This window comes from Homo sapiens, chromosome 6 (assembly GCF_000001405.40).
Source record: "Homo sapiens chromosome 6, GRCh38.p14 Primary Assembly".
NCBI lineage: Eukaryota > Metazoa > Chordata > Mammalia > Primates > Hominidae > Homo > Homo sapiens.
In genome coordinates, this window is record NC_000006.12 from 75,388,382 (window position 1) to 75,406,231 (window position 17,850).

The window sequence follows — 17,850 nt, forward strand, 5'->3', positions numbered from 1 at the left end:
ATGGAATTTAAAATAGTTTTTTCTAAGTCTGTGAAGAAAGTCAATGGTAGTTTGATGGGAATAGCATTGAATCTATAAATTACTTTGGCAGTATGGCCATTTTCACAATATTGATTCCTCCTATCCATGAGCATGGAATGTTTTTCCATTTGTTTGTGTCCTCTCTTATTTCCTTGAGCAGTGGTTTGTAGGTCTCCTGGAAGAGGTCCTTCACATTTCTTGTAAGATGTGTTCCTAGGTATTTTGTTCTCTTTGTAGCAGTTGTGAATAGGATTTCGCTCATTCTTTGGCTCTCTGTCTATTGTTGGTGTATAGGAATGCTTGTGATTTTTGCATATTGATTTTGTATCTTAGACTTTACTGAAGCTGCTTTATCAGCTTAAGGAGTTTTGGGCTGAAATGATGGGGTTTTCTAAATATACAATCATGTCATCTGCAGAGATAATTTGCTTCCTCTCTTCCTATTTGAATACTCTTTATTTCTTTCTCTTGCCTGATTGCCCTGGCTAGAACTTCCAATACTATGTTGAATAGGAGTGGTGAGAGAGGGCATCCTTGTCTTGTGCCGGTTTTCAAAGGGAATGCTTCCAGCTTTTGCCCATTCAGTATGATATTTGCTGTGAGTGTGTCATAAGCAGCTCTTATTATTTTGAGATATGTTCCATCAACACCTAGTTTATTGAGAGTTTTTAGCATGAAGGGCTGTTGAAATTTATTGAAGGCCTTTTCTGCATCTATTGAGTTAATCATGTGGTGTTTGTTACTGGTTCTGTTTATGTGATGGATTACGTTTATTGATTTGGATATGTTGAATCAGCCTTGCATCCCAGGGATGAAGCTGACTTGATCGTGGTGGATAAAGCATTTTGATGTGCTACTGGATTCAGTTTGCCAGTATTTTATTGAGTATTTTTGCATCAATCATCATCAGGGATATTGGCCTGAAATGTTCTTTTTCTGTTGTGTCTCTGCCAGGTTTTGTTATCAGAATGATGGTGGCCTCATAAAATGAGTTACGAAGGAGTCCCTCTTTTTCTATTGATTGGAATGGTTTCAGAAGGAATGGTACCAGCTTTTCTTTGTACATCTGGTAGAATTCAGTTGTGAATCCATCTGGTTCTGGGCTTTTTTTTGTTGGTAGGCTATTAATTACTGCCTCAATTTCAGAACTTGCTATTGGTCTATTCAGGGATTCGACTTCTTCCTGGTTTAGTATTAGGAGGGTGTATGTGTCCAGGAATTTATCAATTTCCTCTAGATTTTCTAGTTTATTTGCATAGAAACATTTGTAGTATTCTCTGATGGTAGTTTGTATTTCTGTGAGATAAGTGTTGATCTCCCCTTTATCATTTTTATTGTGTTTATTTGATTCTTCTCTCTTTTCTTCTTTACTAGTCTGGCTAGCGGTCTATCTATTTTGCCATCATTTTTTCTAATCCTATATCTCACCTATCCCCATCTCCTGAGACTCTTCCACTGTGCTCTCTGAAACTCACATTCAACCACAAGTAAACTCCCATCAGTTCACAAACTCTTCTGAGAATGTTCCCTTCACCTCCTTGCTCTAAGGTAGTTATTCTCAAATTTGGCTGCACTTCAGAATCATCCAAAGCTTAAAACAAACAAACAAACAAACAAACAAAATACAGGTCCATGGCTCCTACCTCCAGAGGTGGTTATTTAATTAGTCTGGGATATGGTCTACGCATCTGCGGTCAAGTTTGAGAACTACTTCTCTAAAGGAACACTGGCTCTCTCCTGAGGACATTACTTGCCCAACAACTCAGAAGCAGATAATTTCTATCCCACTCTCCTTGTACCAATGGGCCTGGATGTGGGGTAGATTTTCCTCCTTGCTCATCATCACTGCTTCCAAATAATTCTCTCTCCCTGCTTCCTAAAATATACTAGCTTTTATTCTCATGTCATCAGATAATATTAATTATATCCTTTCTGTTAATAGCTGTACTAGTCCATTCTTGCATTTCTATTAAGGTAAAGAAATATCTGAGACTGGGTAATTTATAAGAAAAGAGGTTTAATTGGCTCATGGTTCCACAGGCTGTATAGGAAGCATGGTGGCATCTGCTTTTGGGGAGGCCTCAGGAGGTTTCCAATCATGGCAGAAAGCAAAGAGGGAGCAGGCATGTCACATGGCAAAAGCAGGAGCAAGAGAGCAAGGCGAGAGGTACCCCACTTTTTAAATGACCAGATCTCACAAGAACTCACTATCACGAGGACAGTACCAAGGGGAGTGGTGCTAAACCATTCATGAGAAATCCATCTCCATGATCCAATCACCTTTCACCAGGCCCTATGTCCAACACTGGGGATTACATTTCAACATAAGATTTGGGCAGGCACACACATCCAAACCATATCAATAGTCATGGGCCATTCAGTACCCCTGGGTCATTCATTTTCCTTCCTTCTTTGAAGATTTTTGCCTCTGGATTGCTGTTATTCTCTCTAATACTACTTTTGCCAATTTTTTTGTGATTTCCATATCCTCTTAGATGATATTTCTGATGTTCTGACTTCCCAGTTCCCTGAACTTCTCTCCTCTCATGATTCTGTCCTTCACACTACCTCAGCCCTCACTTGTATGGTCATACCCTAGTTTTTGCCATTATTATAAAAAATTACAACTATCTGTAATTTCAGGTCTCCAACATCATCTTCTATATTTCCAGCTTATTCCCTCTAGAGCTCAAAATCCAACAGTGCTTTGATGGCAGCACATTATAATCCATTGATTTTTGTCATCTTCTAATTGGCCTTCACCCTCCTCCTTCCATGCGCTCATTTTCCTTCTCATTCAGCTTAAATTTCAATTGCATACACCCTTAATGTCATGCCCATTCTCTCACATGATTGTACTCTCTTGGTCAAATTACAGCCTTGGTTAAATCTCTCTCCCCAGAGAAAAACTCATGCCAACTGATCTCATTTCAAATTCATGGTCACTAACTTTAACTGGGCTGTTAATTCTATCAAGAAATCACACTATATTCCTTCGGTCCACTCTCATATACTATTTCATAACTTCTTCTGCCTTATCAAATCACACATCTACCCCATTGCTCCCTGACTCACCAAGAAAATTGAAACAATTTGGGAAGAATTTCCACTATCTCTTATCACTTTCATACACCTACTGCATCTTTGCTGGTATATATGACCTTCTCCCCTATCACTAGAAGTAAACTGACTGTGCTTCTAATTAACACAAACTTCTTACTTTAGTCACTAAATCCCATCCTCTTTTGACTAGCTAGGACATTGCTCCAGTCTTTTACCTGTTGTTAATGTTTCCCTCCATATTAGCTCATTCTCATTAGCATACAAACATACTGTTGTTTCTTCCATCTGAACAAGATCCTCCCTTGACTCTACTTCCCCTGGAGATCCCACTTCATTTCTTTCCTTTCCTGTACAACACAACTCATTTAAAGAATTGCCTATACATACTGTCTCCAATAATCTCTCCCCCTAAGTGAGTGGGATTTCTTTGAGCCCACTCCAACCAGGCTTCTGCTTCCAGTACTCCACTGAAACTCTTTTATGAAGGCAAATCATGATCTGTCTATTGCTGAATTCAATGGTCAACTCTCACTCCTCATTTTTCTTGATCCATCAGCAGCATCTGACACTTTGGATCTTTCTCTCTGCCCTGAAAAATGTTCCACTTTTACTCCAAGATGCCCTACTTGCTGATTTTCCTCTTTCCTCTCAAACTGTTCATTCTCATTCTTCATTGCTGAGTCCTCCTCATCCTCCCAGTCTCTCAGTGCTGGAATTACCCAGGGCTTAGTCCTTGGACCTCTTATCTTTTCTATCTAAATTTGCTTTCTTCATGATTTTACTGGATTTCAAGGACTTTAAATAGCATCTATATACATGTGACTTCCAAATTGACAACTCCATCCCAGACCTCTTCCCTGAACTCTAGACTCATATTCAAATGCCAAAGTTTCAGATTCAAATCTGAAACTTCCTGTGCAGAGCTATATTTCTGGTTTCCACTTGTCTAAGCATCTGAAACTTCCTGTACAAAACTATATTTCTAGTTTCCACTTGTCTACTCTCCACCTATAGTCTTCTCCATCTCAGTAAATGACAACCCATTTCCCATTTGCTCAGGCAAACAACCTTGGAGTCAGGCTTAGCAAATCTCTTTCTCACATATCCCACATTCAACCTGCCAGCAAATACAATGAGCTCTTCTACACAATTTATACAAAATCTTAGCACTTTCCCCCCACCAGCACTGTTATTGCCTGATATGGTTTTGCTCTGTGCCCCCACCCAAATCTCATATTGTAGCTCCCATAATTCCCATGTGTTGTGGGAGGGACCCAGTGAGAGATGGTTGAATCATGGGGGCAGGTCTTTCCCATGCTGTTCTCATGATAGTGAATGGGTCTCACGAGACTGATGGTTTTAAAAACACGAGATTCTCTGCACAAGCTCTCTCTTTGCCTGGTGCCATCCATGTAAGATGTGACTTGCTCCTCCTTGCCTTCCGCCATGATCGTGAGGCCTCTCCAGCCACGTGGAACTATGAATCCAATTAAACTTCTTTCTTTTGTAAATTGTCCAGTCTCAGGTATGTCTTTATCAGCAGCATGAAAACAGACTAATACACTGCCCTAATCCAAGTCACCATTATCTCTTGTCTGGATTACACAAAGCTGCCTAGTTTGGTCCCTCTTTCTTTCTAGAGGTTCACATTGACTCAGAAACAGGGAAGTAAATAAAGAACTGCTGATGAAGGAAAGGATTCCTCCACTTTCTCTGTTTAACCCAATCACTGTCAATATAATAAAACTAAAACTGTCTTTAAGTACATAGAGATGGAATTTTTTTAAAAGACATAATGACATTTTTAAATGTTAATAAATAAAGTTATTCATATATATTTATTAAGTACCTAATATATGAAGATTCAGATCACCATAAATAATGAAAAAATATCCAAAAGAAAACAAATATCATTTTCCTAAAATTCGCTCTTATTTTTAAAATTCCTTGAAAGATCTTTTAAGTAAAAAGCCAAGTTTTTAAAAAGTAAAAAAGAATATTTGGGAAAATTCAGAAAAAGCATAATGAGAAAGGATTGGCCTTTCCACATGTAAAAACATATTATGCTACAACAGTAATTAAAACAATATGGTACCAGAGCATGGAACATGGAATAGTTGGATAAATCTTTGGAGTAAACTAGAAAACCCAGAAGTAGATTCAAATATTATAGGATAAAAGTGACATTTCATATCATAAGGTAAAATAGCTTGTTCAATTAATGGTTGTTAACTCATTATCTCTCAGTTACGAAACCATTTATATCTATTCTACTCTGTGATACTAAGCCTGAGATTCTGCAAATTACATTTCCCAGGCTCCTGTACTAGCTGCTTTCTGTTGGGTTCTGCTAATTGGAGTCAGTAGAGGAATGTTAAAAGGTGGGATGGGGAGAAAAATTTCCTTTCTACTTTGTCCTGTTTCTGACAATGTTGCTCCAGTAGTAGCAGTTAGCTGCAGCTCTTGGTTCTTCAGGCCTCCCACAACTAGCCTCATCAAGCTCCCTTAGAGGTACTAGCAGAGGCTGGGCAGTAAGCCCTCTGCAGAGGGATTCCTCCTCTATAGTCCTATGCACTAGTCATCTTATGTCTTCCCTTTGTTTCCTCAGCCCTAGAGGTGATAGCTGCTTCTTGCAGTTACCATCTCTGGTTACTTCAGAATTCTCCTTTCACTCTTTTAGGCTTCTAACATCTGTGTAACCAAATCCCTATTAACTCCTTTCTGTTTGAAATATCTAGTGCACTTCCTGTTTTCCTGACTAGACCCTGACTCTTATGAACAGCCATCCACAAAAAAGTAAAGTAGTTCACTTTAGGATGAATTTCAGATGGGTTAAATATTTAAATAAGAAAACCTGGTGGAAAAAAGTACTAGAAGAAAATTTGAAAGAAATTTTGTATAATCTAAGAGTGGGAAGGCCTCTCTAATTTTAATCCACATCAGAAGCCATAAAACAAAAATTGATGTCTGACTAATAATAGTAATAATAAATTCTGCATAACAAAAAGTGCCAAAAGTGAAGTCAAAATAAAAATAATGAGATAGGAAAAAATATTTGATTCACAGCTTGTATCAAAAAGAACTAATTTCTTTGTTATACAAAAAGCTCTCATTAATCAATAAAAGACCAACAATTCAATGGAAAAACAGGCAAAGATAAGAACAGACTAATCACAGAAAAAGCAATACAAATGTCTCTAACAACATTTGAAAAGATGTTCAACCTTACTCATAAGAGAAATGTAAATTAAAACTACTGGAAAATACCCATTTCACCTATCAGATTGGCAAAGGAATTACAGCACTGAATTGGCAAAACAACTGATAATGTACTGTGTTGGCAGGAATGTGAGAAACCAGGCCTATGAAGGGCAACTTTGCAAAATCTATCGCAAATTTATATACCATTTGACCCAGCAATTTCAATTCTGGGAATTTAATGAAGAGAAATACTCCTACATGTGTGATAATATATATGTATAATATATTAATGGAGCATTGATTGTGATAGCAAAAAACTGGGTACAACTTAAATGTCCTGCAACAGGAGACTGCACTATGTACCCAAATATACACTCTGACGTCACTGAAATGAATGTAAAATCTCTATGTGTACTAATAGGGAAAAATTTCCAAGCCATATTTGATATCAGAAAAAGGCTGATTTCAGTACAATATATATATAATATGCTCTCATTTGTGTAAAAAACAAAAAATATAGTATATGCTTCCATATATTATACCCTTCTGGAACTTTTAAACCATATGTGTGAATTAACCATTCAAAATTTAAACTAAAATAGTTTTAACATAATTTTTTTTTCTTTTTTCTGAGACGGAGTCTCGCTCTGTCATCCAGGTGGGAGTGCAGTGGCACGATCTTGGCTCACTGCAACCTCCACTTTCTGGGTTCAAGCCATTCTCCTGCCTCAGCCTCCTGAGTAACTGGGATTACAGGCACCCGCAACCATGCCCGGCTAATTTTGTATTTTTAGTAGAGACAGGGTTTCACCATGCAGCCAGGCTGGTCTCAAACTCCTGACCTCAAGTGATCCATCCTCCTCGACTTCCCAAAGTGCTGGCATTACAGGTGTGAGCCACCACACCAGGCCAAAAATTTCTAAATATATAAACTTTACCCCTAGAATTCTATTTTGGTGTTTTGCCTAATTTTTGAACACAAGTTTACTACTGAATTAGAGCATCGTCCCATCCATACACTTGTCTTGTTTTATAATTAAAACGTGATTCCTGAGCATGTGATTACAATAAGACTCTACCTTGGAAAAGATATTGTAGTGACACTTTATCAAAAAATAAAAGTTTCCGAACACCTGGACAGAACGGAAGTTCTCTCCCCTGAGTCCTTGATGAAATATGCAAGCAAGTTATTTTACGACAAATAATTGAATAAGCTTTTAAGCACTAGCTTAACAGTAGGTGTTTGTATGGAGAGTTGCCTTCTTTACCTAATGACCTTGACTTGGATGTGGAAACAACATAAAAAAATAAAGTAGGACAAAAATCAATGAAGAGAATAAATGCACTATACCCATCAGCCAACCTGGAACACATACAATCTTAGTGTCTTTTCTTTAAAATCATTTCCATAACACATAATGAAAAAGAATACTCTCCAATAAAAAGAGGCTCCCAACATTATTTAAGATGGGAAATATTCAAGGGACTGCAGACAGGTCAGTATGACAGGATCATAAATTGAGGAGATGTAGTGAAAGATAAGGCTGAAGTGGTGAGCAGTGGTGAGCCGGGGTCAGCCCATGAAAGCCCAAGCAGAAGACAGACTTGATCAGTTTTGTATTTTAAAAAGCTAACTCTTGCTGTGATCTGGGGAATTAGCCAAAGGGGGACAAGACTGCAGGAAGGGCATACCAGTTAAGAGTCTGTTGCAATAAACCATGTGAGCGGTGGTGAGGATGCCTGAAGTAAAGCGGTGGCAGTGGAGATCATGTCTCTCCAGCTATGTGAGGTCAGGGACTCTGTGGCTTACTCTTTTACATTCTCTCCATTGCCTGGCATTCCGTAATTGCCTGTCAATTATACCCTTGTTAGTTGAATCCACTATCTCGTGATGGTAGATAATAAATAAGAATGGCGAGCCTGTTGATCTCCTCTCTGCTGTAGGTAGACAACAGTGTGGTATCTGTGAAGATAATTGCAATGAGGCAGTGATACTCAAGAGGGAATGGGATCTTAATAATCACCTGTGTCCTGTCTCACAGGCTACAAAGGGAAGCCTATGTCTCTTAAACAATTAGTTCTGGAGTGAGAAAGTGCAGTGTTTAAAGCTTCCCATGCTCAACTCTTCAGTGACCCTATTAGTGTCTCCCAGTCAGGATTTGTAAGATTCTTTTCAAAGAAGGTCTTTGCTCAGGTATTTTGTAGTCAGTATACTGGGCACTTCAGGCTGACACGTTATGCCAAACCATCTATAAGTAAGTCATGTTACGTTCTCACTCATAGGTGGGAATTGAGCAACGAAAACACATGGACACAGGAAGGGAAACATCACACACCGGGGCCTATTGTGGGGTGGGGGGAGGGGGGAGGGATAGCATTAGGAGATATACCTAATGTTAACTGACTAGTTGATGGGTGCAGAACACCAACATGGCACATGTATACATATGTAACTAACCTGCACGTTGTGCACATGTACCCTAAAACTTAAAGTATAATAAAAAAAAGTAGTTTGATTAAAAATAAATAAATAAATAAAAGACTTATTCAGTACCCAACATAAAGTACCTATTTAATAAATATAAAAAATTCTAAAAAAAATAATAAGTCATGTTAGATATTGCAAAGATTACATATATGGCTCACACTCTGTATGCAACATTGATCTTATCAGCACTCACATGCTTATCCTTTCTAAACTCAAAGCTAGGAATTTACATTCCATTAAAGAAAAAAAAGGCATGCATAGTTTGATTACTTCAGAACACAACTCATCTTACACATTGTTTTCAGGTTAAAAAAGTTTGCTAATTAAATATATATGTGTATATATATATACAGATTTTTTTACATAACATATACACATATAAGACACACACACACACACACACACACACACACACACACACACACGTATACATATATATATATATATATAATTCCAAGTTGGCAGGAATTACAACATCCCATCTCAGGGCAGACCCATTTAAAGTTCAAAAACAGTAATGTTAAGATCCCTTTCCTTCCACTCTTCAAGGATCACTCACTTTCATTGGTGCAAATATGTGTTTTGAGCCTGTGAGACGGATTCCTTCATCTGTTGAGGAACATGCAAAATCTTGGTTTATAGCTGATTTTCCTCATAAATGAGCTGATCCTCATAGAACCATAGACTTGCAAATGTACTTTCATTATTTCTATTTTTTGAAGGGCAAAGGGACAGCCCAGAGACTGCTAAAATTTGTGCACATTGTTTCATGTTTATTTTCAGGCTCTTGATGAAGAAATATTTAACATCAGAGTAAGTGTTCTAGAGATTAATGGCTGCTGTTTGGCAAGGTCCATAGACGTCCTTTCCTGCCAATACAAATATATACATTGTTGAAGCACAAGACTATATCCACAGATAGGATTACATGTTAACTGAAAAGATTCAAGGTACAGTGTTCTTATTTCATCAAAGTGATGTCCTCTTTTGATTATGCACTATCACAGTGAAAGAATTCCAACAATTTTCATCAGTACCCTGCTTTCTCTCTTAAATACAGAGTTTGGAAAAAATATTTCTCTGTTGACAGCCATATGATATGAGTCACTTTGAGCCCTTGATTGTTTTGAAGCTGGTCTATGACGGGTTGACATAGTAATTATGAGGTCGTTTTAAATCCCAGCTGGGCCAGTTAGTTTTGCAAAGAAACATATTCCACTACTTTGTCTGCATTTGTAACCTTGCCTGCAAACCTAAAGATACTGCAGGTCACAGGAGCTTCAGAACAAACCCTCCATCACCACTACACTAGTAGAGGTCTCCTAAGGATCACTGAGGCCGAAAGGAGGGAAGATCATGAGGAAGGAAGAACCTAAGAAGGGGCCGTCTGTATCTATAAGTATTAGCCCAGTGACTTTCAAGAGTGTCCCTGAAACTGTTCAGAAGAGAGAAGAGAATAAAAAAGAGGTTAAAGGTTGCACTAGGCACTTGTAAACAATGTCAAGATGCTAAAAGTAATAAGTGATGTGGTACAGTGACATTTCACTAATTTGGTCAATTAAAATTTAAATTCACTATGGTCTGGACATGCTGGTCTACATTTTATTCTTAAAAACATTTAATAACTATCTTTTAAAAAGTTTTACATGAATAGTGTAAGCCAGCAAAATGCTCCTAACTTAAAGCGAAATTTATCTTTTTTTTAACCACTCAGACTGCATCTTCCCCTTCTTATTCTCCCAAAGGAAGAGAAGATGGGCCATCAATGAAAAATGGTGGTTACAATGAAGCAACTGATTTCACAGCTAAGGCGAGAGCACTGCACTTCCTCCTCATGCTTTCTGGTACACTCCATGTTCAGAGAAACTTCTCTAGTAACAAACTATGAAAATGGCTCCTCAAAGTATAGAATTTTACTTTATTTTTCAATGTTTTTCAATCACCAGTTTGACAATGGCATTGGCCCGTGTCACCATTGACTTTATTACAATTGATTTCTATTGTTCAGGTTGTTAAACTCCCACTAAGAAGCATGAAAAAGAGCAAGATGCACTTGAGGAGATAAAGCAGACCTTTGAAGGGAAACCAAACATCAGTTCAAGTTGTAACTTAGAGACCAGAAAAGATATTCCAAGTTTTTGTGAAGTTTAAAATGTGCTCTTTTGTATGGAAAAAATAAATCCTGTTGGCAAACAATTGATGTTTCCTCTTCTTATCTGTGGAATCGGATTCTCTTTTCCCATGAGTTTGCTCCTCAACTTGGACTGCTAAGACAATAGCAGCACATTATTTTACTACCATACAATAGGCCATTAATATACATTTGTTGGTTTTTTTGTGATTTAAAATCATTAGCTTTCAGTCTTTAGCATAAAGTGGAATTATTTAAAAACAAAATATGAAAACAACGTGATGCCACAGATTTTGGAGATTCATGCTGAAACAAAAGGTCACTGGGTTTGGGGTCAGAAGAGCATGGTACACCTTACAAGGAGGTGCCCTTAACGGAGTTTACTTAAACCCTCTGGGCTTCCGTTCAGACCTCATCTAACCTTTTAGGGTTACTGTGATTATTAAATAAAATAATGAAAATCCTGGCATATATTAGGCAGCACAAGAAGGTCACATGGGCAACACAGATATTATTTTTCTTTTGTCATTTCATATGTTATTTGTTTTTAATCTTTGTATTATGAAAAAGTTTTAAACATACATCAAAGTAACCTGAAGAGTATAATGCACCATCTATCTCTTCATATGCTTTTTTTGAAAAGGAGGGGTTGGAGACTTTTAAAGGAAATTCCAGGCATCCTATCATTTCACCCAGCAATCAGGACATTAAGATGACGGTGTTCTCAGAGCAGGAACCCATCTGGTTCCTGGCTGAGAGACAGCTCTGCCACTAATACTGGCACATCTGTGGAAAAAATAGGTAAAGTGATGCAGGCGTTAGGCACTGTGACAGGTAGAAAACAAATCCAGAGTGTTCATCGTGACCTGTTTCCTGTTTCCTTGGAACAGCCTCACTCTTGGTCGCTATGCTGAAGGTTCCACCAAAGCCAACCCTTTGCATTTAACATGCAATACTTTAGAAAAAAATTGAACTGGAAATATGCCCTTTATTTAAAAAAGAAAACCCAGTTTATACTTGCCAATTGCAACTACAAAGTAATTTTCAAAAAGCACCTATCAAAGTGCTTTATAGACACTGTCTATTCTCAAGAAGTTGTTAACTTAAAATAGTTCCTTAAAAGACAAACATGGACAAGTACAAGTCTTGTTAAAAATAGTCAATTTAGAAAAAGATGGAGATGAGTTTACCTAAGTGAGGCTATAGGTACCTGAATAGAATGGAGGGAGGAAAGAAGAGCATGTATACAGTCAGGAGAAGGTTAGAAAAAGGTGACCCAAATATTTCATGTCTATATTCCCTAGAGGGTAGGGACCTTTCTGATAATAATTCCATGCCTAGAGAACCGCAGGAGCTTTGATCAATCTAGCTCCCTTAATTTGGAAAGTTTCCAGGCCCCCCAACAGTCTGGTGCTAAAGGCCATGGGAGATTCAGGGATGGGGGAGGGAAGGGTAGGAGATATGTTAGTATGGGAAGGCAGTAGGATCAAGTCAACAGAAGTAGCTTTGACAAAAAGAGACACTTTACTTTTAGTGAAAGGGGAAGTAAAGAAAGTTGAGGCAATGAACAGAGTATTTTTGTTGTGGAAAGAAGTTGAGAAGATCTCAATCTTATAGGTAAAATACTTCTACATCAAAGCATCTGTGGAAGACAAAGAGAGCAAGGATAGGACTGGAAATTATGAAAGAAGTTTGTACTTAACATCTATAAAGCGTTTAAGTGTCCTTTTTAAAAAAAAAAATCAGAACAAAACAAAAAGCCTTTCCCCACCCCTACTATTTCCTTAGATATAGCCCTGCCATCTATCCACAAACTTGTCAAAAGTGAAGTTTACCCAAGCACTTGTGGACACCAGTAGTCTGGTATCAACCCTCACCATTCCTTGGAAAACACACCTTCTAAATGCCGGCTCAGTAAATAGCCTATTGTCAGTTTTCATTCTCCAGCTTTGCAGCAGCATTGAGAACTATGTCTTCCTGAAATTCTCTCCTTCCCTTGCAACCATGAAACATCTTCATTCTGATCGCCTTCCTTTCTCTTTAACCATGTCTTGTTTTCTTCTTTGGCCAGGTCTTTTCTCTCTTACCACCCTTAACCATAGATATTTTCTAAGAGAATCTCCTTGGTGTTAATTTTTCCTTCTATTCTCTTATCCCTTTGCTTCATCCATGGTCTCCTCAGATTAGTACCTTGTTTGTTTTTCTATATCCATTCTGGTCAATACAGTAGCCACGAGCCACAAGTGGCGACTTAAATTTAATTAACATTAAATAAAATTTAAAATTTAGTTCCTCAGTCTTATTAGCTACATTTCAAGAGTTTGCAAACCACATGTGTCTAATGGCTACCCTACAGGACAAGGCATATATAGAACATTTCCTTCTTCAAATAAAGTCCTATTGTACAGCACAGGTCTAGACCTTATCTCTCCCAAGCTTCAAATTTGGCAGTGTTCTACATAATATCTCTCCTGGAAGTCTTCTGGAATCACAAATTCATCATGCCCCAAGTCCTACCCCACTTAACATACATTTCTCATACCAGTTATCTGTACAAACTAATTTTACTTGAAAATGCTCCATGTAAAAAGAGCATATCCCCAAATAATTGGGAAATATTTGTACAGGTAAGTTGTAATATTTATATATAATTTAGTTTACTAAATGGAGACCATTTTCACTGAGGAAAATGTAGGCTGCAGCCATTTAGGGGGAAATCTCCATCTTTCACATATTACCCTTATGTGGTATTTTCCCATGGCCAGATTCCTGTAAAATAATAAAAGGATTTATGAGAGATTTTCTTTATTAATATGTCTTTTTTTACATTTCTCAATAAAACTAAAGTTCTCCCCTACAACACCAATGCGGACATTATTCTCACTGCAGGAAAGCCAACTTTCTGATTCTATTAGGAGTCCTAAAAGTATTCTGCCTGAAACAATGAAAATCAGACAACAAAGCTCTTTGCCAAAATATGAACAATACTACTGGACACATGAGATTCTGAAGCATCGTATTCAGCAAAGAATCAGATCTGGTTCTGATTTTAATCAGAAAGCAACCTGTCTCTCTGTTGCCTCCTAAACTTAGCAAAGACATGCCATTCTCAGCACGCTGACCATTTTGATGGTGTGAGGTTTCACTGGGCAGCCTCGCTCAGGGTGACCTCAGCCTGAGATTCTAAAAATGGAGCATATTAAGTGCAGGTGAGTCATCAATTTAAAAAGCCATAGAGAGTAACTAAAAGCCTCATTCTTCAGAAGCACAGGGACTCTACTGGAGGCCTTCCCATGTGACAAATGGAACTCATTTAGAAAAAGAAAAGCCATCTTTAAAGAAAAAAGTGATAAATGGTACCCCTGAAGGATAAGCCTATTGTTCTTGGTTGCACAAGTAATTCCATCTGAACTGATTATCACCATTCCCAATGGAGTTATGACATCTCTTGTTAAAAATGACAGAAAAGTAGAATCATAGTATTGTAGTGGTAATATCATTGTAAATATTTATGACCATTACTGTTAATTCATTAACATTATATATTATGATACTTATACTTTTCCTGTATAATTCAGTGTTTTGCAGATGTTAAAAATATTAATCTTATGACTGTCTCATAGGGTGTATAAATATTAGAGCATTTCAAGATTAATCACCAGTTACTAATAGAGTAACAATGATATGCCTAACCCTTTTCTAGATATAATGAGGCACGTGAAAGATGCAGAAGACACAGCTTCTCTCAGAAGTTTTTTTGGGCAACAAGGTGTAAGTACATAAAATACTTAGGGAATGTGGGTGTATTAAGTGCTATGGTTCATTTCATGAAGGATCAATGTAGGATTTCATGGCAGGAGAAAGATAAGCATTGGGGAGCAAGTCATTAGGAAATGCTTCACAGAGGAAGTGAGCCTTCAGTGGCCCCTAAAGAAATATTGAATAGGGCCAAGTGTAGTTGTTCATGCCTATAATCCTAGCACTTTGGGAGGCTGAGATGGGAGGGTTATTTGAACTCAGGAGTTCAAGACCAGCCTAGGCAACATCGTGAGACCCCATCTCCACAAAAATTCAAAAAAATTAGCCAAGTGTGGTGGTGCATGCCTACAGTCCCAGCTACATAAGGGGCTGAGGCAAGAGGATCCCTTGAGTTCAGGAGATTGAGGCTGCAGTGAGCTGTGCATGTCACTGTGCTCCAGCCTGGGCAACAAAGCAAGACTCTGTCCCACAAAAAAAAAAAAAAAAGAAAAAGAAAAAGAAATATTGACTGGTACAGGAGGAAAGTATGGGATAGGACAAAAATAAACACATATCCTGAATTTCCTTGAGAGCCCCAATTTACGTCTTGCAAGTATTTTAAGATTGTATGTGAGTATGGGGAAAAAATGTAGAGACTGCCTGATTAGATAGGAATGGTCATGTTAAGTAGCTCTAAAGATGAGATTTCATAGCTAAGAGGGAGATTTTTCAGACCAGTCTAAGCAATTTAGACTTCTATCTGATAAGGTGTAGGGACCTCTTCTAAATTCCTAAGCAACAGATAAAATGATCAGAGAAATACTTCAGAAAAAGTAGTTTGGCAGCAGTTATCCAGTTATCTACTGACCTTCTAGTCCCCAATGCTCATATTCGTTAGATGACACAGACTTGCACTCCACTCCAAATCCTGCCATAATCCTAGGAGGTTTCAACTTTTAATGGGAGATTTAGCCAATGTCCTAACTTCACCATTTCTGGACCTCATTAATTCCAATTGCTTTCACTTCCACTCCCAGGACCGCACCCAAGACCCTGTAATAGTTAAAGCTGTGCCACACAGCATGCATCTATAGTCCTAGGCACTTGAGAGGCTGAGGTGGGGGGATCACTTGAGCCCAGGAGTTGGAGGCTGCAGTGAGCTGATTATGCCACTGCCACTGCCCATGGCCTGAGCAATATAGCAAGATTGTCCCCAAAAACAAAACAAAACAAAACAACACTGCCGTACCAGAAACCCTAAATGCAAATAGCTCAAATTCCAGTTTTTCCAGCCCTCTCTTGCCTGTCCTGCCATTGGCCTGCCCACTTCTCCCAAGATCTCTTCCTGCTGGGCACCGTCTCATCAACACATTCTACTTTCTTATACTATTGTCCTTTCACTGCACCCACTTGGAAACTGCAACCCTAGATCCAGTGCTATAAAATATGTATCCTCCTTTACACGCAGGCTTCTAAACAGACTGCTGCCACTGCAAATGCATGGTCTCTCCCTGCTGAATCCTAAATTTCACCCATTAGTGTTTGTATTTGTACATAATCACCTTTCTTTAGCATTCCCCTCTGCAACGATTCAGCATGTACATAATCATCCTCAGGACCACCACTCACTTTCAGCAGACCATAACTTTGTTCCTTGATGAGAAAGCTGAGGCTTTAGGGGGATCTACCTCAACTGCCCGCCCCTCAGCTGCAAATGTTAGCCCCACTCATCTTTCCTCCTTCCATCACAGAGGAAGGGTCTCCTTCCTTTTCAAGACCAAAACCAAGTTCAACCCAAAATCATACTTTTGATTCACCACTTCCTATATCCTCCAAGATGCTGTCATCAAAAATTCTTTCTCTTTTCTACATCCTTGACTCTGCTTTTTTCTTGTCCTGCAACCTCTTAACCTGTAAACACAGTAAAGTGTCTTTCCCTCAGTTGACCTGAGTTTCCCTCTAGCTACTGTCTTCTTTCTATGCCTTTCTCATTCAAACTTTTCCAAATAACATCTATACTGGCTAAGCTTAGTAATGACAACAACCCCAGAACATAGGAAATGTCCCCATTAGAACACATGGGGAGTAAACTGAGGCCCAGAGTCAACACTAATAAAGTCAACTACCAAACCTTTTTGATTCTATCATATTTCCCCATAGGACTTGGCATTCAAGTCACACTGTTTTGGTCTTTTACTTTTTAAAAATCCCATGTTTCACTTAAAGCTTCAAAGTAGAGAAAAGCAACATGTAATTTCAAATCAGGAAGCCAACAAATGTAGGCCTAAAGGCCTACTCTGTGCCACACAATTAATTTCCACTAAGCTAAAGAAGGGGGAAAATTAGCTTCTCTGGCTATGTAAAACAACAACAACAACAAACAAACAAACAAAAAACCCAGAAAATCTAATTATTACCAAAAAAGAAAAAAGAAAAAAAAACATAAAGTTTTTCTAAATTATTTACTTAACTTCCCTTCACTTTGTTATAAATAAAGTTTCCGTGCTGCAAAAGAAATAGCACTCGAATATAAAATTTTCTTTTTAATTCTCAGCAAGGCAAGTTACTTCTATAGAAGGGTGTGCCCTTACAGATAGAGCAATGGTGAGTGCACTTGACAAGGGAGGGGAAGGGCTTCTTATCCCTGACGCACATGGCCCCTGCTGCTGTGTCGTTCCCCTATTGGCTAGGGTTAGACTGCACAGGCTAAACTAATTCTGATTGGCTAATTTAAAGGACTGACAGGGGTGAGTGGTTTGGTGGGAAAAATGGTAATGACAGAGCAGACAATCGGAATGAGTCGGGGTGGAGTAGGTAATCGGAATGAGACAGGGTGGAGCAGATAATCGAAAAAGCTTGCTTTACAAGGAAGTTAAGTTTAAAAGTAGAAGGCAAAGAATTGAACATACTGACATATTGATTCTCTGAAAAGAAATTTAGAACTCATATCTAACAACTTCTCAACCCACTGAAAATGGGCTTAACCTCACTAAAACTGCTCTGACAAATGTTCCCAATGAAATTAAAATTAACAAACCCAAAGAATGCCCTTTAGTCCTGTCTGACGGGGCCTTTCTGCTGATTTGACTAACTGAACCTCTCTTCTTGATACACTTTCACCTTTACTCCCCTGACTTCTACATCGCTCTACTCCCCTGGAATCCTCACACCTTCAGACTATTTTGTGGGAAAGGAGGACCTCTTATTT

General features: G+C 38.3%; 1 protein-coding gene, 1 long non-coding RNA gene and 1 other non-coding gene across 8 annotated transcripts in view; 1 reads left to right on the forward strand and 2 right to left on the reverse strand.

The window, feature by feature from the left end:
• FILIP1 (filamin A interacting protein 1) overlaps nucleotides 1-17,850 on the reverse strand; it is a 201,942-nt gene that overhangs the window by 96,523 nt on the left and 87,569 nt on the right. The window lies entirely within an intron of this gene.
• LOC101928540 (uncharacterized) overlaps nucleotides 1-17,850 on the forward strand; it is a 75,715-nt gene that overhangs the window by 5,196 nt on the left and 52,669 nt on the right. Inside the window, exon 3 of the long non-coding RNA NR_125859.1 lies at nucleotides 14,608-14,675. This is a non-coding gene — a long non-coding RNA (uncharacterized LOC101928540). The remainder of the gene's footprint in view (nucleotides 1-14,607; nucleotides 14,676-17,850) is intronic.
• LOC124901509 (small nucleolar RNA U3) lies at nucleotides 10,479-10,686 on the reverse strand. The gene has a single exon (XR_007059940.1). It is a non-coding gene; the product is annotated as a small nucleolar RNA U3 (small nucleolar RNA).